At 43.0% G+C, this 25,584-nt stretch overlaps 1 protein-coding gene across 2 annotated transcripts; it reads left to right on the top strand.

The window, feature by feature from the left end:
* The first annotated feature begins 1,842 nt into the window (after nt 1-1,842).
* On the top strand, nt 1,843-16,810 carry CEACAM7 (CEA cell adhesion molecule 7). Of its 2 annotated transcripts, none has more exons than NM_001291485.2 (5): nt 1,843-2,011; nt 2,892-3,254; nt 6,050-6,328; nt 12,610-12,737; nt 15,374-16,810. In NM_001291485.2, exons 1-4 carry the CDS (start codon nt 1,948-1,950, stop codon nt 12,699-12,701), a joined length of 798 nt encoding a protein of 265 aa, NP_001278414.1. In that variant the 5' UTR covers nt 1,843-1,947; the 3' UTR covers nt 12,702-12,737; nt 15,374-16,810. The 2 variants fall into 2 exon arrangements, with proteins under 2 accessions (NP_001278414.1, NP_008821.2); NM_006890.5 differs by having other exon boundaries at nt 15,354-16,810.
* The last annotated feature ends 8,774 nt before the right edge of the window (nt 16,811-25,584 follow it).

Here is a 25,584-nt window from a genome sequence, read left to right as displayed (position 1 = left end):
ACACCATGTGGACCCTCGTCAACATCCCTGGAACAGCCCCTGACTTTGACCACAGATCTCTTGCCTTCCAGGGGTGCACATCGCACACAGAGAACACTCAGGAAATTGCAGTTGATTCTCGAATAAGGCAGGGGTTAAGGGTGCTGAGGACCCCGTAGAAAATCTTTGTATAACTTTTGGCTTCCCAACAATTGAACCACTAAAACCCTACTCTTGACCAGAAGCCTTATTGTTAACATAAACGGTAAATCAATGTATTTTGCATGTTTATTTATATTATATACTGTACTCTTACAATAACATAAGCTGGGGAAAATAAAATGTTACTATGAAAATCATAAGGAAGATAAAACATATTTACTATTCATTAAGTGACAGTGGATCATCATAAAGGCTTTTATCCTTTTTTTGTCTCCAGGTTAAGTAGGCTGAGGAGGAGGAAAGGAGAGGGTGGTCTTGCTGTCTCAGAGATGGCAGAGGTAGAAGAGGTGGAGGGGAGGCAAGAGGAGGGGACACACTCAGTGCAACTTTTAATTTAAAACATCTGCATGTGGCTGGGCATGGCAGCTCATGCTTGTAATCTCAGCACTTTGGGAGGCTGAGGTGGGTGGATCATTTGAAGTCAGGAGTCTGAGACCAGCCTGGCCAACATGGTGAAACCCCGCCTCTACTAAAAATACAAAAATTAACCAGGCGTGGTGGCGGGTGCCTATAGTCCCAGCTACTTGGGAGGCTGAGGCAGGAGAATCACTTGAACCCGGGAGGTGGAGGTTGTAGTGAGCTGAGATCGTGCCACTGCACTCTAGCATGGGCAACAGAGTGAGACTCTGTCTCAGGAAAAAAAAAAAAGCAAAAAACAAACAAACAAAAAACAAAAAACAAAAATCAAACAAACAAACAAACAAACAAAAAAACATCGACATGTAAGTGGACCTGTGTGTTCAAATCTGTGTGTTCGAAGGTCAGCTGTAATTCCCCTGGACATGAACTTGGCCTTGCTAAGGTGGTGAAGGTGGAGCCTGGTTTCCATTCCTTGCTCCAACAGACCCTTCTTGTCTTTCACGCGTTCCTGCTGTGTCCCACCTCTTCCTTCCTGGGGCCTTTGAAGACCCCGCTCTGCCAGGGGTTTCTGTGCAGCTCCCCATTCCCTCCTGGCACCACCCATGGGGAAGGCGGGGTGACCACAGGACTGTCAGCCAGACAGAGGCTTCCAGGTCAGGTAGAACATGGAAAGGACCTGAGCCACAGCACATCCAAAAGACAGGGAGAGGGAGGGTTTCCTTGAAGCCTTCCCCAAGGACAGCAGAGCTCAGAGCCACACACCTCCCTCCACCACAGCTCTCTTCCCAGGACACACCAGACACCTCCCTCCACACCCAGGAGCTGTAGCTCCTCCTGAGACCCCTGGGCCTTGGTTTCTGTGCCTGGGTCACTGGAGACAGAGGGCTGGTCCCTCCCCAGTCATCCCCCAGTGAGCCCCTTTCTATCCCCCAGAGCCACCTCTGTCACCTTCCTGCTGGGCATCATCCCAGCAGAAACCCAAGGCCCAGCTGGGTTTCTCTGTCACAAGGGAAATAATCCCCCTGGTGTGACAGACCCAAGGCCAGAACACAGCATAGGTCAGCACTGGGAAAGGTTGGTTGTCCTCCCAGGGGACAGGGGTCCATCAGCCTTGCTACTCAAAGCTTTGTATCGGGAACTGAATATAGACAAAAGGGAAAGAGGAAGAGGGACAAAAGAGGCAGGAATGAGAGGGGAGGGGACAGAGGACTCCTGAGCAGAGACCCCACCCCTGGACCATGTGATCTTGGAAAGTGCTCCTGCCCTGGGAGGAGGCTCAGCACAGAGGTAGGAAGGACAGCAGAGCTGACAGTCACAGCAGCCCTGACAAGAGAGTTCCTGGAGCCCAAGCTCTTCTCCACAGAGGACAAGCAGGCAGCAGAGACCATGGGGTCCCCTTCAGCCTGTCCATACAGAGTGTGCATTCCCTGGCAGGGGCTCCTGCTCACAGGTGAGGGGAGGACTTCCTGGGAGTGGGTGGGAGGAGGGCCAGAGAGACTGGCTGGGGTCTCCTTGGGAGGACGGGGCTCTGAGAGGGGACAAAGGGCTTCTGTTGAAGTCCTTTGGGAGAGGACACCAGACAGGGACAGGAAACCAGAACAGGAAAATCACATTGGACTGGAATTGGAAAGGGTCAAGAAAATCTCACATGTTCTCTTTTCCTGGTTAATCATCACTAGCTGCTACATTTTGAAATATGATAATAATAACTATATCATGTGACGCTTCAAATAAAAACATAACCAGGGCATAAAACATTGTCCCTAGCCACCAACCTCAGGCATTGGAAAATAAACCCCAGGATGTGGAGGGAGGGCCCTGGGAACTCTCATGAACTCATCTACTGGAGCCTGCAGCCTGTTCCAGGCACTGGGGTGCAATCCAGTTCACACAAGTCCCTGCCCTCACAGAGCTCACGCTCTCATGCGGCAGAAGACAGACAGGCAAAGAGATCTAGAATGTGAAGCCAGGTGTTGACAAGAGCTCTAAAGGGAACAGAGCAGGGAAATGTCAGAAACGGAACACCCAGGGCTTCTAGAGAAGGTGTCAGGGAAGGGGTCTCCCAAGGATGCCCTGATGTAAGCAGGTCCAGCAGTATGGAGGGAGCCCTGCAGATCCCTGGGGAAGAGGATTCCGAACAGGGAAATGTAAGGTCAGAGGTGCTGATAGGGGACATGCTGCTGACATTGATCCAGTAGGACACACACACACACACACACACTTACTTCAAGATGGGGGTGGGTGAAGAGACCTGCTCAGGATCCAGGGCCCCATCTTTCCACCCCAATACATAGGTCCCAATATTGACTGATGTTCTCTCCCCCTCCTAGCCTCGCTTTTAACCTTCTGGAACCTGCCAAACAGTGCCCAGACCAATATTGATGTCGTGCCGTTCAATGTCGCAGAAGGGAAGGAGGTCCTTCTAGTAGTCCATAATGAGTCCCAGAATCTTTATGGCTACAACTGGTACAAAGGGGAAAGGGTGCATGCCAACTATCGAATTATAGGATATGTAAAAAATATAAGTCAAGAAAATGCCCCAGGGCCCGCACACAACGGTCGAGAGACAATATACCCCAATGGAACCCTGCTGATCCAGAACGTCACCCACAATGACGCAGGAATCTATACCCTACACGTTATAAAAGAAAATCTTGTGAATGAAGAAGTAACCAGACAATTCTACGTATTCTGTGAGTGATACCTCCATGACTTCTGGGTGCTGGGGGCCAGTTCTACTTCATACACACGGGGTTGTCAGGCCTGGGTTGTGCCTGTGTCCCCATCTACATTTTATCCAGTGTTGGAGTTTGGGCATTTAGTGAAGGACACACATGGGGGAGACAAACTTCTACAGACCAGAATCCCTTTCCTGCATCCAGACCCTGCAGATACTTGCTGCAGAGGAAGGACAGTCTGATGGGGGGCACTCAGCAGGGGGAGATCAGTCTCAGCCAAGATTCTGTGCCCTCCCCCTGAAAAAGACCCTGGAGAACTGGGTCAGAGCCTGGCCTGAGGAGTCCCCTGGAATCCTCACAGAGAAGCTCAGCCCTGGAAGCACAAGTCCCAGATCCCTGTCCCAGGGCTCTTGACTCCAGGTGACCCTAAGGAACCTGTGTCAGGGCTGGGTTGTGGCCTCCTGGGCTGAACTGACTGAGAGCAAGGATTTGAGCTGTTTGAGGATCATGGCTCATGGAGCTGGTCACCAGCCTGGTCACCCCCAGGGCCTCATCTGGGCAAGGACAGAGCCTCATCCTTCACCTGAGACTCAGCCTGGAGAGGACAGATGAACAGGATTACTAGGACCTCAGTCCCCCTGGATGAGGAACTTAAGAGAGGTCCTAGGGGAGTCAGTGTCCTCAGGGGGAGAAAAAGAAGAAGAAAGTTTCTGCTGTAAGTTCTTTGTACACCAGGAATCAGGTCCAAATAACCCACTCCTGGAGGCAAACAATCAGAGATCCTGCTTGTTTGGGCAGCTCTTCTACACAGGGCTCTCATCCAGGTAATTGTGATTATTTTAAGGTAAATTCACAGACAGCAAGGCAAGCCAGAGACCATTTACGCTTTATCTCATTTTGTTAAAGGAAACTGAGGCAGAAGGAAATACAGCCACTGAGGCAGGGTCTCACGGACCGGACAGTCACATCAGAGTCCCCAGGTCTTTGTAGCCACAGAGCTTGCTTCCTAGGCATCCAAGCCAGAAGTGGGAGATTCTGGTCTAGGGAGTGAGGAACAAATAGAGAATTAGTTTTTACCTAGAACTGAATCTCTTGCCTCAACTATCAGAGTCAGTGCTGGGAATGTCCAGGCCTCTCCCTTAGATTCACACTCCTACCCTCACTGGACCTGAAATCCTGTGTTTCCTGATGTGTTGGTGTCACTCCCACAGGAGGATAAAGGAGAAGACTTTGCTTTCTCTCCCCACTCACACCCTGCACATGCCAGGGCCCAAAGTGAGAAACACACTCGCTCAGTAGTTCTCTCATGAAGGAGGGAGGGAATGAATGAAGGAATGAATGATCCATAATCTCTTCAGAGACTGGAACCTGATGCAGGATCCTAGGAGGCTCTGGCACCTGTTCCCTGTCCCTCCAAGGGACTGAGACCCATGTTCCACCTCTCTCATCCCCTGCCCCTAAAGCCACCCCAGTGGGAGACTGAGACAGGAGGGTGTCTTGAGCCCAGGAGTTCAAGACCAGCCTGGGCAACATAGCAAGATCCCTGGATCTTAAAAAAAAAAGAAGCCACCCAGGTGTTGAGTCTCATGACTGTGTAAATGCTTGGCCATGGGACAGGGATGAGCAACTCCTCTATCTGCTCTCTACACTGACTCACCAGGGGGCCAGAGGCAGGACAGGTGTGCAGTCCCCAAAGCCCATGGGTTCATTCCACCCATTTTACTACCAACTCCATCCTCGTCTCGCTGTGGGGCTAAGGTCCTCCAGTCATTCCTGGGACCTCCTCCAGGTGCAGCGGCCTAGGCAGGTGCTGTCTGATGGGTTTGCTGTCCATTCCGCATACACCTGTGTCCTCATGATGACACCATTGTCATAAGGTGGGGTCCCTTGGAATGGGAACTGCACCAGCCACTGGCATCTCACTTAGACTCTGCCTAGTTTAGATGAATTTGATCAAACTCTTGTTGTGTTTCCGTAGGTCGAGAGAAAAGGAAGAAAGCATTTCTCATGCCTGTGTTGGGATTTCCTCCATTTTGCTGACTGCACAGGAGCTGGGGACAGGGAGCTCTTTGTAAATTTCCTAACATAACACACATCTCTTCTCCTAATTTGTCTTCATTGTTCTTGTTATGTCATTGAGAATCCTCAGATTTTCAGCCAGCCCCTGCTTGTCTCACTCACCCTTTCTCTATCTTCTTCTGGACTCTGCTGCACTTTCCTGGCGGTCACTAGCTCTTGTCAGTCACCATCAAACACCCGGGTAGAGCTGCCCCACCTGGAGGCCCTGCAGTCTGAGTACTAAACTCACCTCTAGACTTTTTCCTGGTCTCCTCTGCTATGTCTGCTCAAACACCCATTGTTATCATCACCCATCTCTGGGATATCCTTGGAAAAAAAAGGCTCAGAGAAACACCCCTTGGCTGGGTGGTGTAGGAGTGTTCAGCTGGAAGGAACTCAGCTCCTGCCCATTCGAGGTGAGGACCCCAAAGGGCCAGGTAGGCAGCCATCAGGAAAGGACCAGGAGAGGCACCAGTGGCTGTGATTGATGGTCCTGGGTCTGTCCATGGGCCAACGCTGCTGCACAATTTACACTTGAGAAAGTCTGTGCTTCTCTAAGACAAATCAGGCAGCCTCACAGTGTCTGAGCTCTCAGATCATTGTGCATCTGTCTTGTGATACACACACCTTCTGTGGGCTTTTAAGGACTTGAGTGGGCTTAGAGGTGGGAGATGCCAACTCTGATTGAAAGATGTCCGTGGGGGAACCAAGGGGCCACACAGGGCAATCTTTTCTCTCTCTTATCTGCACAGCGGAGCCACCCAAGCCCTCCATCACCAGCAACAACTTCAATCCGGTGGAGAACAAAGATATTGTGGTTTTAACCTGTCAACCTGAGACTCAGAACACAACCTACCTGTGGTGGGTAAACAATCAGAGCCTCCTGGTCAGTCCCAGGCTGCTGCTCTCCACTGACAACAGGACCCTCGTTCTACTCAGCGCCACAAAGAATGACATAGGACCCTATGAATGTGAAATACAGAACCCAGTGGGTGCCAGCCGCAGTGACCCAGTCACCCTGAATGTCCGCTGTGAGTATCTTCTGTTCCTCTGTGGCCCAGGCTGACAGCCCAAATCCATGCAGCCAGAGACCAGGCCTCTTAGTCCCTCTCAGGTCCAAGTACACAGACCCTCACCTCTAGGCACCCAGGCTGGCCATGACTTTCTGCCACAAGCAAACCTGGGCAGACCCAGCCTTGACCAAGAATATGAGAGGAGGGGCTGCTCCTGTCCTGGGAGGCTCAGGGTCCACAGCCTGTGATGGGAGAAACAGGTGAATGTCTCAGGCTCAGTGAACACATCGGGGTTTGGTTGGGACTTCAGGATTGTGATTTGGGTAAGAGGGACAGTGCAGCCCTTCCACAGACCAGGAGCTTCCGCTTCCCTCTGAGGACATCACTTACGGCTTTATTCTCTTTGCTCCGGGTGGCTTGGACACCCCTTCTACCCCAGTTATATCTTACGAGTTAGGAGCAAACCTTAGACTCTTCATCCATGTGGCCTCTAACCCACCCTCTCCGTATTTTTGGCTGAGTAATGGAAACCTTCTGCAACACATGCAAGAGCTCTTTATCCCCAAAGCACTGCAAAGAATAGTGTATCCTATACCTGCTATGCCCACAAATTGGCCACTGACCGCAATAGTACCACAGTCAAGATGATCACAGTCCGTGGTACATGGATCCCTGGACCGTTGGCATCATATTTTGAGATGGGGTCTCTCTGGTGTTAAGGAAGAGCTGAAAAAACTTTTCTTTTCCAGCCTGTGTCCCATGGGCACAAGCAGATCCCAAATTCTCCCCGCTGAACCCTCTCACTCTGTCTCTGCAGACCCTCCTCCCTGTACTTCAGTAATTTCTCATGGCTGATTATGGATCCAGCCTGGAATGTGGGGAGGGGGCTCCCTCAGCCCCAAAGCCCCAGGTAGTGGAAAGAGCTTCACAGAGGGAAAAGCAGGAAGGGTCCTTAAGGGTTCTCTCGGTCATCAATACGTCCCTTTTTGTCACCTCTTTGTGTTCTTTTGCCTAATTCATGAGCTACAAGGAAGAAGGAAGCTTTGAAACATCTCACACTTTTTCCCCAGATGAGAGGAGGAAACCCCTTGGACGAGGGAGGAGCAGCTCAGAGTCTGCTCCCTGCTCTGCTTCCGGCTCACCTGGTGACTGGCCCTGCCCTGACTCCACCTGGGGTGGGACCTGGGTGTGTGGAGAAGGTGCTTGGGCGACCTGTCCTGAATCTGGCTAAATTGAGCTGTCAATCAATGGCAGAGCCTCTCCTGGGTCAGGCTTCAGGGAACTGGGAAGAGAGGGAGCCCTGGGGCAGACTCTTGAACTGTGGCCTGGCTCTGAAGTCACCCGCTGTATGACGCTGTGGACACAGCACAGAGCACAGCTAGGGATGAACATTTGGACAAATAGGGAGATTCAGCCACCGGGACTCTGCAAGGGAGGGAAGGGGCAGGGCCACAAAGTGTGTATTTATAGCGAGGATAAGAGTACCAGCCACTATATATTCATAAAGGTTAAGCACTCATAACCTGAAATTTACCATATTAGCCATTTTACATATACGGTTTAGGGCTGGGCGCGGTGGCTGATTCCTGTAATTCCAGCACTTCGAGAGGTTGAGATGGGTGGCTCGCTTGAGCTCAGGAGTTCAATACCAGCCTGCACAACATGGTGAAACACTGTCTTCCCAAAAAATTAGCGAAACATGGTGGCACATGGCCTGTAGTTCCAACTACTTGGTGGGCTGAGGCGGGAGGACCACTTCAGCCCAGAATGTCGAGGCTCCAGTGAGCCTTGATTGCGCCATTGAATTCCAGCCTCGGTGACAGAGTGAGACCCTGTCTCCAAAAAAAGTATGGTTTAGTGATATCAATTATATTTATACTGTTGTGCAACCATCACCGCTATCCATTTCCAGAACTTTTTCAACTCACCATGCTAAACCTCTGCACTCAATAAACAGTAACTCTCCACTCCTTCTAACCCTAGTCCCTGGTAGCCATCATTCTACTTTCTGTCTGTCTGTAATTGACTATTTTATTAATAAGTACCTCACATCAATAGACTCATACAAAATTTGTCCTTTTGTGTCTGGCCACATTTCACTTAGCATAACGTCTTTAAGGTTCATTCACGTTGTAGTATGTATCAGAATTTGAGTCTCATGAGTGTGTAAATGCTCGGCATTTTATTTTATTTTATTACCTGTTAAGACTGAATGAGTTTCCATTGTGTGGATATATTTCATTTTGCCTCTTGACTTATCGTTCGGTGGACTTTTGAGCTGTTTCCACATTTTGGCTATTGTGAGTAATGCTACTATCAACATGGGTGTATAAATATCTTTTCAAAGCCCTACTCTCCATTATTTTGGGCATATGACCAGAAGTGGAATTGCTGCATCAAATGGTAATGCTTTGCTTAATTTTTTTGAGAAACGGCTCTACCATTTTCCACTGTGGCTGCACCATTTCACACTCCCACCGGCAATGCACGAGAGTTTCAATTTTCCCACCTCCTCAAAATACATGTTTTGTGTTTTCTTTTTTTTCTTTAAATCAAAGCCATCCTAACATGTGTGTGGTGGTGTATCACTGTGGTTCTGATTTGCATATCTCTAAGTATTAGTGATGTTTAGCATCTTTGCATGTGCTTATTGGCCATTTGCATATCTTCCTTGGAGAAATCTCTGTTTTAGTCCTTTGCCCATTTTTAAATTGGGTTTCTGGGTTTTTGCTGTTGAGTTATATTAGTTCTTTATATATTCTGAGAATTAATCCCTTATCAGATATATGATTTGCAAATATTTTCTCCCATTCCATGGGTTGCCTTTTCACTTTCTGGATAATGTCCTTTGATGTAGAGAAGATCTTATTTTTTATGAAGTCAAATTTGTCTGTTTTTTTTTTGTTGCCTGTGCTTTGGGTGTCATAGCCAAGAAATCATTGTGAAATCCAATGTCATGAAGCTCTCCCCCTATGTTTTCTTCTAAGAGTTTTATAGGTTTATCTCTTAGATTTAGGTCTTTGATCCATTTTGGGTTAATTTTTATATGGTGTTAATTTTTATATGGTGTTAAGTAAAGATTCAACTCATCCTTCTTCATGGATATCCAGCTGTCCCAATATCATTTGTTGAAAAGACCATCCTTTCCCTATTGAATGGTCTTGGTACCCTTGTCAAAAATAATTTGACTATAAACGCAAGCATTTGTTTCTGGGCTCTCCATTCTATTCCATTGGTTTCTATGTATTCCTTTATGCCAGTACCACACTGTGTTGATTACTGTGGCTTTGTAGTAAATTCTGAAATCAGGAAGTGTGAGTCCTCCATCTTCATTCTTTCATATTGTTTGGCTATTTAGAGTCCTGAGACTCTATATGAATTTTAGGATTTTTCTATTTCTGCAAAATATGCCACTGGGATTCTGGTAGGGATTGCATTAATATTATCATCTTAATGATATTAGGTCTTCCAATCTATGAAAATGGAATTTCTTTCCATTTATTAATATATTCTTTAATTTCTTTCAGCTGCATTTTATAATTTTCAGCTTACAATTTTTTCACCTCCTTGGTTAAGTATATTCCTAAGAACTTTATTCTTTTTGATGATAATGTGAATCAATTTTTTTCTTAATTTCTTTTCAGATTGTTCATTGTAAGTGCATAGGAATACAACTGTTTTTTGGCTGGATGCAACGGCTTACACATGTAATCCCAGCACTTTGGGAGGCTGAGGTGGTCAGATCATTTGGGGTCACAAGTTCGAGACCAGCCTGACCAATATGGTGAAACCCTGTCTCTACTAAAAAAAAAAAAAAAAAAAAAAAAAAAAAAATTAGCCAGGTGTGGTGGCACACGCCTGTAATTTCAACTACTTGGGAGGCTGAGGCAGGAGAATCATTTGAACTGGGGAGGCAGAGGTTGCAGTGAGCCGAGATCATGCTACTGCACTTCAGCTTGGGCAATAAAATGAGACTCTGTCTCAAAAAAAAAAAAAAAAAAGAGAGAGAGAGAGAAAGAGACAGAGAAAAAAGAAAAAAGAAATACAGCTGATTTCAACTGATTTTTGCATGTTGATTTAGTATCTTGCAGTTATACTGAATCTGTTTATTAGTTCTAAAATTTTGTTTTAATCTCTAGGGTTTTCTACATGTAAGTTCCTGTCATCTGCAAAGTTAATTTTACTTCTTTCTGATTTGGATGTTATTTTCTTTCTTCTTGCCTACTTTCTCTTACTAGAACTTTCAATACTACATAGAATAGAAGTGGTAAAACTAGGCATTCTTGTCTTGTTTTTATCTTAGAGGGAAAGCTTTCAGTCTTTCTCCCTGGAGTATGATGTTAGCGTTGGGCTTTTCAGATAATGCCTTTATTATATTTGAGGTAGTTTCCTTCTATTTATAATCTGAGTGTGTTTACTATGATAGAATGTTGAATTTTGACAAATGTTTTATTGGTTCAGTCTCCCTAGTAGTTATTAGTCTATTCAGATTTTCTGTTTCTTCATGGTTCCATTTGGAAGGTTTTATGTTTCTGGGAATTTATTTCATCCAGGTTCTCTAACTTGTTGGCATATAATTATTCATAATACTCATAACACTTACTATTTCTGTAAAATTGGTAGTAATCACTTTCATTTCTGATTTGAGTAATTTCTATCTTCTCATTTTTTTTCTTAGTCGATCTAATTAAAGGTTTTGAATTTTGTTGAACTTTTTTGAAGAACCACCTTTTGGTTTCATTGCTTTTCTCTATTGTTTTTCTAGTCCACTCTAATCTTTATTATTTCCTTCATTGGCTAACTTTGGGTTTCATTTGTTTTTCTCCTATATCCTTAAGTTGTAAAGCCAGGTTGTTGATTTCAGATCTTTCTTCTTTTTAAATGTATGTATTTATAGTTATACATTTCTTGCACAAGATTCTTAACTTCTCTGAGCCTTAGTTTCCACAACTGAAAATTGCAATAAGAGTGCCTGTTTCACAGTATTGTTTTGAAGATTTAATGTAATAATCAATGAAACATTCAGCAAAATGCCACATGCAGAGGAACTGTTTCATAAATGTTAGCTGCTGTTAAAGCTACCATTATTATTAGCCTTGAAGTCAGGTAGTCTTAGAGGCAAATCCTAGATCCGCCTGTCACTAGCTGTATGACATTGGGTAAGTTTTTTCACCACTCTAAGCCACCTCTATTTTCTACCTGACAGTATTATTTTACAGCTCAAATGAGATACATGTAAATAATTTAACACAGGGCCTGACACATAGGAAGCACCCCTCAACAGTAGCTAATATTAGTGATTATTAATCATCAGTCTGAGTTGACTGATGACTGATGAGAAATTAAGCCCAAATTATTGCAACAGAAATAAAGAAGAAACAGATGCAGAAGGTATTATATATACATGTGCATATATATATTCACATATATACACACATATACATATACATATACATATACATATACATATACATATACATATACATATACATGGGAGAAACAGGCATTACACAAAAAGTCCACTGGGACATGGTTACTGATTAATATGGGAGAGGGAAAAGAACAGAGTTAAATATGAAGTCTCAAGCCTAGTATGTTAGTTTTCATTCAGAGAGATGCAGTCAAGATGGGATTAGACATGCAATATAATTTTGAGGGAAAAACACCTGTGAGGGAAAGTGGGCTGGGAGGGGGAGGAGCCTGGGAGAGCCCTCAGATCATGATGCAGATGTGATGCCTGTGGAGGAGAAAGAGAAAAAAAAGAAAGTTTTAGATTGCAGTGCAGTTCGAAGAGAGTTTCTGCAAGACTGTTGGGAATTCCTCAAGCCCATCACCTTTCAGAGCAAAATAGTCTTGCAGAACTTGACTTGCTTTCACACACCTGCTGGGAGCCCATGGGAAGTGAGGTCTCTGTGCAAAGGAGGTGGTGAATTCAAAATGCACTAACTGCCACAACTGAGACACTAAGAAAAAAAATGCAACCATGAAAAAGTGGGAAGTTTTAATGACATACAAGATTAGCAATCAGTCTTTCTCAAATTTCAAAGCCTTCAAAAATATCTGAGTGTAAAAAGGTCAGGATGGAATTGACAGAAGACTGACCATCAACCTGGAAACCTGGTGAGATAAAAAACCTGCAAGAATTTAGTTGGATAATCATCTCCCAGCAACCTTCCCACAAAAATAATGTATTCCTTGAAGGAACAAATAGAAACGACTTCATGCTGAGAGTTGGTTCCTGGGGGACTTCCCTGTAAAATAAGATCAACTTCATTCCTTCTCTTTTCTTTCCATGGCAGATGAGTCAGTACAAGCAAGTTCACCTGACCTCTCAGCTGGGACCGCTGTCAGCATCATGATTGGAGTACTGGCTGGGATGGCTCTGATATAGCAGCCTTGGTGTAGTTTCTGCATTTCGGGAAGAGTGGTAGGTATTATGACCTTTCCTCTTATCCTATTTCCTGCAGGGCTGACTGCCATGCTTGGGAGAGGGAAAGGACTTCTTCACCTGTATCTGGGACTAGATCTCCTCCTCCTCCCACTAAACTCCTGCTTCTAAGCACTAATTCCTGCAGGTCTCTTCTTCCCTGGTCTTCATGCTTCCTGTACTCCACTGTCTCTTAGACATGACTACTCCCAGCCTCTGCTCATTTGTTTCCCCAATTCAATACATTGTGAAAGCTTCTTGGTCCTTTTTAAAACATCTTTCACTTGTGCTGTTCTCTCCATTCCCATAAACCTCAACAACTGCTTGAAGTCCTGCTTGACTTCTTTTCTCTAGTCTGAATGCTTCCTAGCATATGACTACTTCATTACCTTCCTAAAATCACCTACTGAAGAACCTGCAGCGGCCTACTCTAGCCCATTAGATAAGTTCACATTTCTTCTCTTCATGAATCCTTTTTACTTCCTTTACCACTACTCCTGAGTATAATTTCTCCATCCTAATTAGATCTGTCTTCCTATACATCCTGCCCTTCCACCCCATGTACACATAGAATTCTTAGTTCCAATGTTATATCTAAAAACAAGGTAACCTTCCTCCACCACCTGCATTGTGGAGTTACCCACACCCTTCATCACAAGCAACCTCTGTCCTTGTGGAGGACAAAGACGGTAGCATTAGTATGTGAACCTGAGACTCAGGACACAACCTAAACGTGGCTGAGAATCTTTTCCTGATAACCAATTCATGTGTTCATGAAAGATACAGAAATGAAGAAGGCAAGGTCCCTACTCCAGGGAACATAAAGCCTAAGACAGACGATAAGACAAAGGGCCAGGTGCATTGGCTCACAACTGTCATCCCAGTGCTTTGGGAAGCTGAGGTGGGAGGATCCTCTGAGCCCAAGAGTTCAAGGTTGGAGTGAGCTATGATTGTGCCTCTGCACTCCAACTTGGGCCACAGAGCAAGACCCTGTCTCCAAAAAATAAGACATGAAAAATAATTGTAATACCAAAATAGAAAAAGATAAATTCCACAAGAAGAAAGAGAAATCTAATGGGAAATATGGCTACACACTGGAATCACTGGAAAATTTTTAAAAGAACAACTGATTTCCAGGCTCTGCTCATACATTTTGATTTAATGGTCTAGAGTGGGACCAAGGCGTTATTATTTAAGCCTTCCCACATGCTACTAATGTGCAAGCAGGATGCAGAACCCCTGCTCTGATAAGCAGGACTTGGGCTTAAATCAATGGTTTGTAGCTAGGGGTATGTATCAAAATTACCTGGGGAACTTTTTCAACATACATAAGCTTATACATTGTTGGCCATATTTGTTAATGTACTATGCCCTGAACTCAGTAATCCAGTTGAGAAACAGAAGCGAGATGGAAATTCACCTTAATTGATATGTTAAATTATATGGAAAACACTGTCAAATGACAAGTGATGCCAAACCTTCTCTAAGTTATATTTGCGGGTATGTTATTGATGTGAATGTTTCAAAAATTATATGAGATTTCTAGAAATCTAATATTTTGTCAGTCATAGTGTTACATGCCACAGAAATAACCAAATTTGTTTGTGAGTGGTGTCATTATCATCAAATCTATCAAATCTGAAGTCTTATCAGATTTTTAACCATTGCCATCTTAAGTCTTTGTCATTCACAGACAGTTGTTTTGATTCTTCTCTAAAAGCACTTGGAAATGGTTACAGTCCAAAACTGCTTGTTTTCCAAGGAGATTTATGGCTAAGACTCTGACAAGTTGTCTTGAATACAAGTTTCTGATAACTTTAGAATCATACCATTGGGCTAAGAATTTCCAAAACTTTAATGAAGAGATATCTTCATGAAACTGCCAATCAAGATCAGGCAGAACAAAAAATTAATTTCATGGGACTAGATGAACTAATGAGGATAATGTTTTTATGAATTTTTAGTTGAAGTTTTGATGATTCTTTAAATGTTTTGTTTTCCAAATTTGAAGGAATATTTTTCTTTTAAGCTATCTATAGCTTACAGAAACTTGGTAAAATACAACTTGTGAACAAAAATTGAAACATTAATTTTTCTCCCTACATTTTCCATCCAGAATCAGGCAACTATTCATGGGTGTTCACATTGTTATGAAAATAGTTATTTGCATAAGTTCAATAAGAATCTGTTCTGTTTATAACAGGATACATTTAAAAATACTGGTTATATTACCAAGGCTTTGGCTGGGATGTCATATTTGGAAATATACATAGAATGAACCCGTAGGTACTGAGGTACTGCAGGCAAAGTCTGAAGTCAGCCTTGGTTTGGCTTCCTAGTGCTGAGAGGTTTCTAAAAGTTTAATCTGAGATTCCTTATCAAACCTTCCAGCAAAGCAATCTTAAAAAGATGCTATGTGGTCAATCGCTATTCTTGCTATACTTCTTATATAAAGAATCAGACCAAGTTTGATGAGACTCTACCTATTTTGTAAACAGATTAGTCTTACTCTGATTAACTTTGGTAGAAACAGGGAGAGATAGAGAAAAATTATGTTCAGAGGAAAGACTATAATACAACTGTTATCAAATTGTAGCCCTGTATTTTGTTTTCAAGTTTTTATTATCCACCTGCAGACTGGACTGGATTCTTCTAGCTCCTTCAATCCCATTTTCTCCTGTGGCATCACTAAGTATAAGACCTGCTCTCTTCCTGAAGACCTATAAGCTGGAGGTGGACAACTCAATGTAAATTTCAAGGAAAAACCCTCATGCCTGAGATGTGGGCCACTCAGAGCTAACCAAAATGTTCAACACCATAACTAGAGACACTCAAATTGCCAACCAGGACAAGAAGTTGATGACTTCATGCTGTGGACAGTTTTTCCCAAGATGTCCCAAGCCTCATCGTGACGAGGCTCTTATCCCACTCCATTTTTCCCTGCTCATGCCTGCCTCTTTAATTTGGTAAGATAATGCTGTAACTAGAATTTCACAATCAGCGCCTTGTGCAGGTAATTTGACAGAGTGTTGGATGTGTCATGTCATCATGTCAAACCCAAATATTTGACCTAAGGGATCCTTTATTCTGCCCAGTGGCTAACTTTAACAACATCCCTAATACAACTGTTTATTCAAATGCACGGTGGTCCCTGTTAGAGTTAGACCTCTAGACTCACCTGTTCTCACGCCCTGTTTTAATTTAACCCAGCTATGGGATGCCAGATAACAGAATTGCTGCCTACTAGCTGAACAGGGAGGAGTTTGTGCAGTTGCTGACACTTCTTGTTGCACATAAATAAATACAGTGGGTACTATAGAGACTCAGTTGCAAAAATTAACAAATATGCTGCTTGATTAAAATGGGTAGGCTTCTCATGTGGCTCATTCTTTAATCTATTCTCTTTTATTTGGTTTGGTTCATGGGGTCTCTGCCTATGGATCATACTTCAAACTCTTGGTGTGATCCTCCTGATTGTCACAATATTAGTTACCCTGGTGTGCTGTATTCTCTAAAACCTTTAAATGTTTGCATGCAGCCATTCGTCAAATGTCAAATATTCTCTCTTTGGCTGGAATGACAAAAACTCAAATAAATGTATGATTAGGAGGACATCATAACCTATGAATGATGGAAGTCCAAAATGATGGTAACTGACAGTAGTGTTAATGCCTTATGTTTAGTCAAACTCTCATTTAGGTGACAGCCTGGTGACTCCAGAATGGAGCCAGTCATGCTAAATGCCATATACTCACACTGAAACATGAGGAAGCAGGTAGATCCCAGAACAGACAAAATTTTCCTAAAAACATGAGAGTCCAGGCTGTCTGAGTCAGCACAGTAAGAAAGTCCTTTCTGCTTTAACTCTTAGAAAAAAGTAATATGAAGTATTCTGAAATTAACCAATCAGTTTATTTAAATCAATTTATTTATATTCTTCTGTTCCTGGATTCCCATTTTACAAAACCCACTGTTCTACTGTTGTATTGCCCAGTAGGAGCTATCACTATATTTTGCAGAATGGAAACTGCCCTGACTCATGAATCACAAATAAAAGCCAATTGTATCTATAACTGAATTTGTTATAATTTTGTCTTTTGATGCATGTTTACAGCCAGCGATGGCCAGTGGAGTCTCTCTGGCTGCATCATTCTCACCCTGACCCTTCCGCCTCTCTCTTTCACTTACAAGGACCCTTCTGACTACACTGAGCCCACCCAAATTATCCAGAATAACCTCGCATCTCAAGAAACTTAACTTCATCTCACCTGCAAAGTCTTTTCTTTTGCCAAATAAAGTAGCATGCACAGGTTCCAGGGATTAGGATGTGGACATTTTTAGGAGGCCATTATTCTGCCTAATACAGGTAACTTCTGTAAACTTTACCCACAACAAAAATTGCTTTGCCTTCCTTCTGTGTCTCACTTTTCTGTCTGAATCACAAAGAGCACAAACTTCGAGGTGAAACACACTAGCTCTGCTATGAACTGGCTGGATGACTCTGGACCACTCACTTCACCCACTTCAGCCTCTTCTCATCTGCAGCACAAGAGTCACTCTTACTGCATCAGAAAATGACAGTTTGAATGGGTACGTTAATATGTGGAAGGCATTAGACATAAAGCCTGGTACCTGATGAGCCCTTAGTAAACCTTTCTTTCAGTCTTTTCCTTTTGCCATCTCACATTCTCTCACCCTCACCTATCTTCTCCTTCATCTCCTTTCTCTTCAGTAACATACTCAGTTTAACCTACTATTTAGCAAAGAAGCCACACAACCCATTCTCTCATGACTCTGCTGGAATGTTTTGGTCCTGCAGTCTGCTCTCCACTCAAGGCAGTGTATATTATTTTTATTTTTACACAGAAGTCTGTTTAAAACAGGAAGTCTTTTTCTTTTTTTTTTTTCTTTTTGAGACGGAGTCTCGCTCTGTCGCCCAGGCTGGAGTGCAGTGGCACGATTTCCGCTCACTGCAAGCTCCGCCTCCCGGGTTCACGCCATTCTCCTGCCTCAGCCTCCTGAGTAGCTGGGACTACAGGCGCCCACCACCACGCCCGGCTAATTTTTTGTATTTTTAGTAGAGACGGGGTTTCACCGTGTTAGCCAGGATGGTCTTGATTTCCTGACCTCGTGATCCGCCTGTCTCTGCCTCCCAAAGTGTTGGGATTACAGGCGTGAGCCACCACGCCGGCCAACAAGAAGTCCTTTTTATGTTCACATAAAATATATACATGCTTTCCCTTAATTTACACATACTAGTCCCATTTCTGTCCTGTTAATTCATACATGTGCTTCCTTATGTCACTCTTCTTCGGTCTTTCTCTTTTCAATTTATAAATAAGGATAGTACAGAGGCAAAAAATACTGACCCAGACCATAAGATGGGATTTCTTCATTAAGATGAATGCTTTCCTTTAAAAAGATGAATGCTTTCCATTGGCAACATAAATGCTATTCACAAGGTGCCCCTGAAGCCCATTTCTAGGCTTGGCTTTCAGCAAAACCATTCGATCTTAGGACACATTCCTAGACTCCTAGGAGACAATATTTGTGACAGAAGCCACACCCACTCTGGCTGTTCCTGCTGTCGGGTAAAGGTATTTTTCACAGAATGTTGTACGTCATGAATATTGCTCAAGATTCCAAATCCAGAAACATATGAAGAGGGCGAGTCCCTGGAATGGTCACAAAGGGGAGAAGATTTCAAAGCCAGTAACAGTCATAAAGCACACCCACAGTGTGTGGCCTTTGAGCAATGACAGTCCCCCTGGCCTCTTTCCATGCCTGTTGGCTTCTGAATTCCTTCTCAGGACTGCTCCTCAATCCTTCCACTGTGGAGTTTAAGCCCCCTTAACCATCTTCATCTCCAGCTGCCTGCGAGGACCCTGACTGGAAGGCACCTCCTCACTCTGAATGCTCCTGATGGCACCTTTGCCTATTTCCATAACTATAATAGCTCACACTGACGCAGCACTCACTACTCACCAGGCACTATCCTAAGGGGTTTTCAGGTAGCTACAGTCCTCATAAAAAATCCTGAGTGTCAGCATCCCCATTTTTACAGATTTAAAAAACTGAGGCAGAGAAGTGAAGTCAGGTAATGAGTGTCATCCAACTCCGTAATTTAACCCCATCCTCCACTTTATTTGTGCAGAGGACACTCTAGGTCTTCCAAGGTCTCCTGAATGACATCCACCTTCCAGAATAATTTTTGCTCCCTCTACTTTCAGGATTTGATGAACAGCCAGCATCTTTTTTTTCTGTCTCACTCTTCACTTTTGCACCTGTTCCCTAACACCACACTCACACCTGCACAGCCCTGCATTAAAGCTGGCTTTTATGAACCTCCAGTCTCTTCTGGGAAAAAGCAGGGTGGGCCTGGCTCTCAGTCCTCACAACAAGTAACTTTCACTGAATTGTCATCTAGTCATACAGCCAGTCTCTGGCCATAAAAAGGGTGCACTGGGGACAGAAAGTGCAATGAGAAGGAAATAGGAGGAGGGTGAGTCCCTGGAATGATCACAAAGGGGAGAATATTCCAAAATCCAGAAACAGTCATAAAACACACCCAGAGTGGGTGACTTTGAGCAATGACAGCCTCATCTCTCTCTTTTCATGCTTGGTGGCCTCTGACTTTCCTCTCAGCTGCCCGTCCTGGTCTTGCTTTCTTAGACCAATACTAATGGCCTGGCAGCTGGGGCCAGACCAGAGCACACAGTAGTGAGGGTCAGGGAGCTGAAAAGGGGGAAGAGTGTCTGACTTATGGAGATCTGACTCTTCACCTATGCACACATCACCTGGGCAGGGAATGGATTAGTGAGGTGCTGTGCAGGACTCACGGTTTAAGGGATTGTACTAAGGAGTTGTACTTCTTTGATCCTGCCTGACTGAGAGCAAACTCTCAGAAGGCATCACAGCTTTTTCCTAAGAAGGCATGGCTGTTATATGAAACCATTGCGCTTCCCTTCTCCCTCTGTTGGGTTACATTTTTCTATCCACTTGTTTACTGAGTTGTGTTCCAGGAAAAACAAATCTCGGTTGAGTTTTTTAAAGTCCCATACATTCAGTTCAGTTCAAGGGTGTCTCTCATCTTAGTGATGGCCAGGCACAAGACTTTTTAAAAGGTGCTGCAGAAAATTTTGATAAAAGCCTTTGCATCACCCATAATACCTTTGGGGACCATTGAGCAGCAAAAATGATGAGGAAGAAATCTGTTATGTGCTGGAGACCTTTGTGTTTGCACCTCATCTAATGCTCACAATGACCCTTTAAGTAGGTACTATTATCCCTCTATCCCAAGACATCACTAACTTGTCTTTTATCTCAGAATTGGTGAAAGGTGGAACCAGAATTCAGACTCACATATTTCTGAATCCAAAGCTTATGTTTCAGTCCACACCATTGTACCTTCCAGAATTCAAAGAAACAAAGGATGACGGCTTCTAACAGAAATAACCATACAAGCTTCAATGAAGAGACAGGGACTGAAATAAGCCTTAGGATGAAGAACAATTTAGGAGGTGAACAGGCAGGTATGCATGTTATATGAAGGAGTCAAATAATTGCAAAATATTTAGACATGAGAAAGTCAAATGTGGATCAAGGGAGTAGATTGGGGTCATATTATGGAGACTTTGAATGATGGCTTAAGAAATTGGAATTTCATCCTATAGATGATAAGAGTCACTGGAAAGCTTTGAGAAGGTCAGTAACATCACAAAAAGCATTTCCAGGAAGATTACTCTGACAGTATTAGGCAAGATAACTTAGGCAAGTGGTCTTCAACTCTGGGAACTCAGGATTATCTGGAAGTTTTTTCCCCCTTCTTTTTTATAACTTTCATTTTGAAATAATCTTACACTTCCAAAAATGTTCCAAAAATAGTCAGAGTCCCCATATTCTTTTCGTTCAACTTTCCCTAATATTAACGTTATAGATAACCACAGTGTAATCATCAACATCAGTAAATGATCACTGACATCTTACAATGAATGAACTTGCAGACCCTATTCAAATCCTCTCCATCTTCCCACTAATATCCTTTTTCTGGACAAGGATCCATACAAGATCACACACTGCATCTCATTATTCTGTCCTCTCAATCGCCTTCAATCTGGGATGGTTCCTCAGAATTACTTTTGCCTTCATGACCTTAACATTTTTAAAGAGTATCGGTGAGTTATTTGGTGGAATGACCCTCAGTTTGGGCTTACCTAATATTTTCTCATAATTAAACTCAGGTTATCCACTTTGGGCAAAAATGCCACAGAGGCGATGCTGCACCTTCTCCATCCATCATATTAGGATGCCCAGAATTTCTATATCTTTGATTATTGGGGATGTTAACTTTGAGCACTGGGCTAAAGTTCCTCCACTGTAAAATGACTATTTTCCTTGGAAGCATTTTTAAATGACCAAATCCCAAGGCACACCATGGAGCAATCAAATTAGACTCTCTTTGAGGAAGACACAGGCATTTGTATGTTTTAAATTCCTAAGGTGACTCTAACCAGTAGCCAGGGTTGAAAACCAACGACTTAGACAGTGAAAATTAGAATCCTGGAAATCAGCTAGGAAACCATTCCTCAGGCCTCTCTTTTAAAAAATAACATCAAGCTCCAGGCACAAGTAATTGTATCTGGACATCAGTAATTATATCTGAACCCATGGTAGGAAAACAGGAAGGTCAAAAATGATGGGTGAGTAGACTGCTGCTCAATAAAAAAAGAAGGCAGGACACCAGGTAAAGTGTCCAGCCCTCTTGTCCTATTGTTTCCTTAAACCTCAGAGAAACCTTGTTGCAGTGGAAGAACACACCATATAATTTTACTGTCCTAAGCTTTACATGAGCTCCTAATTGCCACTGACAGGGAGGGAATTATGAGTCATGTGATAGAAATATATGACTGCACATGCAAAGATGCACACTTCCAGGTATGATTGAATGAACATCGTAGAATCCAGGTCAGAGGTACATGACTTCCCCATAAACAACCTTGTCCTCCCCATCTGGTCTTTTGTCCTTCATCTCTTCTGAAGTAAGAGAGGAAAGACCCTATTTTAAATTTCATGAATTAGGAAAGTGAACACAATTCCTATCACCAGGCTTTTTAAGCAAGAGGATACTGTGCTCAACTTCCTTAGAGTTATTATCTTGAGGTTTTCATAAATAAATGTCAACAATCTCTCCCTTGGAGGAATATTTAGAAAAACTCTAAAACCCATTTTATCTGATTTCACACCACATCATCAACACAGAAGAATTCTTTGACCAAATATGGGTGTGGGTGTTCCTCCCCACCACCAAGTGAGCAATCAGTACTGCAGTGGACACTGGCTGGGTGTCCTCCAGTTAAATTCTGCCACGGTCAATCTGTATTTCACAATAACACAAGAGGCCATTGAATAACATGCAAAAGGAAACACAAATGGAACCAAAATCCAGAAGCAGGAAGGACCCTGACAAGAGCAATCCCTAAGGTATTCACATGCCTGCCAGGGTCTGATGCTGCTGGTGCAGAAGGGACTGCTGCTAGCAACAGCTGAAAAAAAGAGAGGGCAGCTCTAACACTCAGTGAGCACTAAAAAAAAATTTACTCAATTATCCCTCAATGATCACACAGCCAATGTCCTTTAAACCTCTCTATAGTGTCTCACCAAGAGGAATGGCACATAATTAAATGTTGACATATGGGAGAAATAATTTATAGAAGGATAGGATCAGCTGGTTCAGGAATGGTTGGAAAAGATTTCACTAAAGAGGCAGGATTCAGGTGAGTACTTGGAAGCATTCAGCCTTAGGAAAACAGAGACAAAGAGAGACATAAACCGAGGGAATCACTGTAAGTTACCACTGTAGATGCTAGTTTTAAAGAGGATCTCAGGAATAAGAGTGGGTTTGCAGATGTTATTTTATTTATTCCTCTCAACCACAATATCTTGTTATTTCAGAGAAGGATACAAATCTTCAGAAAGGTGAAGTAACTTTCCAAGATTGGTGGTGGATCTGGGAATAGAAACTATGTGTACCTAACTCCAGAGCCCATGTCATGACCACTACCACTGACAGAGAACTGAACACAAAACTATGCTCGTGATATTATAAAAGTGAGAGAAAAAAGCATAACTGACTCCATCTTGCCTTTATATTCACAAGCTAACTGCCTTTGCTTATTTCTGTATGTAGGACAGCCTAACTGTGGGAGGAATTTAGTTTATAGTTTAACCTACCCTTCCTTATTCAGGAACAGAAACTACCTTTGAAAAATGGATGAATGTCACAAGGTTAGAATTATCAGAGTGGCCTGAATTCTGCTAAGATGTAGGCATAGTTAAACAGTAAGCAGTCATCATTCCCTACCTTGCTTGCTTTTTAAAATAATTGTTTATTGCTCAGGAGTCAGTCAGCTGATAGTCACAATATTTGTAATTTCTCCATTTGCTCCTATAGATAACATCACTATTGTGAAACTTAAGACTGGTGTTTGAGCCGCATGTTCTCACTCATGGGTTGGAATTGAACAACGAGAACACCTGGACACATGAAGGAGAGCATCACACACCGGGGCTTGTTGTGGGGTGGGGGGAGGGGGGAGGGATAGTATTAGGAGACATATCTAATGTAAATGACGAGTTAATGGGTGCAGCACACCAACATGGCACATGTATACATATGTAACAAACCTGCACGTTGTGCACATGTACCCTAGAACTTAAAGTATAATAAAAAGTATATTTAAAAAAAAAAGACTGGTGTTTGAGATATTTTTCAGACTTTTCGTTCTGGTGGAGCAACTGACACTATTTGGACCAATGACCCATACCAAGAAACTGAATCAACTGGTCCTGTGACCCTCACCCAGGAACTGAATCAGCACACAAGACAGTTTTCACACCACTGTGTTTTCATCCCTGACCCAACCAGTCAGTAGTGTCCATTTCCTAGCCACCTGCCCACCAAACAATTCTTAAAATTTCTAGTCTTCAAATTCTCAGGTAGGCAGATTTGAGAAATATCTCCTGTCTTCATTGCTTGAGCCTCCTGCAATTATTAAGCTCATTCTCTGTTGCAATACCTTCTGTCTCAGTGTGTTGGCATTTTCTGTGCAGCGGGCAAGAAAAACCCACTGGATTGTAACAGATTTGGAGCATCATTTGAGATTGCCCCTGTAGGTGCGTGGCCATGGTTTGGCAGCCCTTCACTGGTGCACTGGCCCTGGAGGTGAGCTTTCTTAAACTGAGGGCCACCTCTGGCACAATCCTTGCTGGTGGGTGGATGGTCAGTCCATGGTACTTGGACTTGCTTGCAGTGGGGAAACATTTTCTGGGACTGGACGATGTCTTTTGATAAGTATTCTAAAGGCAAACAACACCCTTTTTCTTTTTCTGATCTGGTGGCCCCTGTGGAGGCATTGTGCCCCCTTGACAGATCTTGGTTGGCTCTTCCTAGGTGGTAGAAAGAGTCCTGGCGTGGGGAAATTCCTGCCCAATTGAATGGAGAATAGGAGGCTTGTTTGGAAGAATACTCCTGAAAATTTTCTTATCTGGAATTTAGGTTGGTAAGGTATTTTGATTGTCTTTGTCTTGTTTTTCCCCCATCTTTTTCTTTTCTTTTTTAACTTGTTTTATTTCCATAAGTTTTTGGGGGAACAGGTGGTATTTGGTTACATGGATAAGTTCTTTAATGGTGATTTGTGAGATTTTGTTGCACCTGTCGCCCAGACAGTATACACTGAACCCAGTTTGTAGCCTTTCATTCCTCAACCCCTTCCCACCCTTTCCTCCAAGTCCCCAAAGTCCATTGTATCATTCTTATGCCTTTGCATCCCCTTAGCTTAACTCCTACTTATGAGTGAGAACATATGATTGTTGGTTTTCCATTCCTGAGCTACTTCACTTAGAATAATAGTCACCAATTCCATTCAGGTTGCTGCAAATGCCATTAATTTATGAATGTATTCCCTTTTATGGCTGAGTAGTATTCATATATATATATAAAGAAAATATGAGATATATCTCATACTTTCTTAATCCACTCATTGATTGATGGGCATTTGAGCTGGTTCCATATTTTTTCAATTGGAAATTGCTGCTATAAATATGTGGGTGCAAGTATCTTTTTTGCATAATGATTTCTCTTCATCTGGGCAGACACCCAGTAGTGGTATTGCTGGATCAAATAGTATTTCTACTTTTAGTTCTTTAAGGAATCTCCACACTCTTTTCCATAGTGGTTGTACTAGTTTACATTCCCACCAGCAGTGTTGAAGTGTTCCCTTTTCACTGCATCCACACCAACTTCTATTATTTTTTAATTTTTTGATTATGGCCATTCTTGTGGGAGTAAGGTGGCATTGCATTATGGTTTTGACTTGTATTTGCCTGGTCATTAGTAATGTTGAACATTTTTTCACATTGGCCATTTGTATATCTTCTTTTGAGAATTGTCTATTCATGTTCTTAGCCCACTTTTTGATGGGATAGTTTGTTTTTTCTTTCTAATTTGTTTGAGATCCTTGTAGATTCTGGATATTAATCCTTTGTCAGAGGTACAGATTGTGAAGATTTTCTCTCACTCTGTGGGGTTGTCTTTTTACTCTGCTAACTATTCCTTTGGCTGTGCAAAGGCCGTTTAGTTTAATTAAGTCCCACCTATTTATCTTTGTTTTTGTTGCCTTTGCTTTTGGGTTCTTGGTCATAAAATCTTTGCCTAAGCCCATGTCTAGAAGGGCTTTTCCGATGTTATCTTTGAGAATTTTTATAGTTTCAGGTCTTAAATTTAAGTCCTTGATCCATCTTGAGTTAATTTTTGTATAAGGTGAGAGAGGAGAATCATTTCATTCTCCTA

This window comes from Homo sapiens, chromosome 19 (assembly GCF_000001405.40).
Source record: "Homo sapiens chromosome 19, GRCh38.p14 Primary Assembly".
Lineage (NCBI taxonomy): Eukaryota > Metazoa > Chordata > Mammalia > Primates > Hominidae > Homo > Homo sapiens.
The sequence above is the reverse complement of the archived record's forward strand: the minus strand, read 5'-3'. Positions and strand labels throughout refer to the sequence as shown.

Bases quoted from the DNA above. Each gene is read 5' to 3' on its own strand.
- CEACAM7 (NM_001291485.2), top strand. From the start codon at position 1,948: ATGGGGTCCCCTTCAGCCTGTCCATACAGAGTGTGCATTCCCTGGCAG. The intron at 2,012-2,891 runs GTGAGGGGAGGA...TCCCCCTCCTAG, and splicing joins GCAGGGGCTCCTGCTCACAG to CCTCGCTTTTAACCTTCTGG. The intron at 6,329-12,609 runs GTGAGTATCTTC...TTTCCATGGCAG, and splicing joins AGTCACCCTGAATGTCCGCT to ATGAGTCAGTACAAGCAAGT.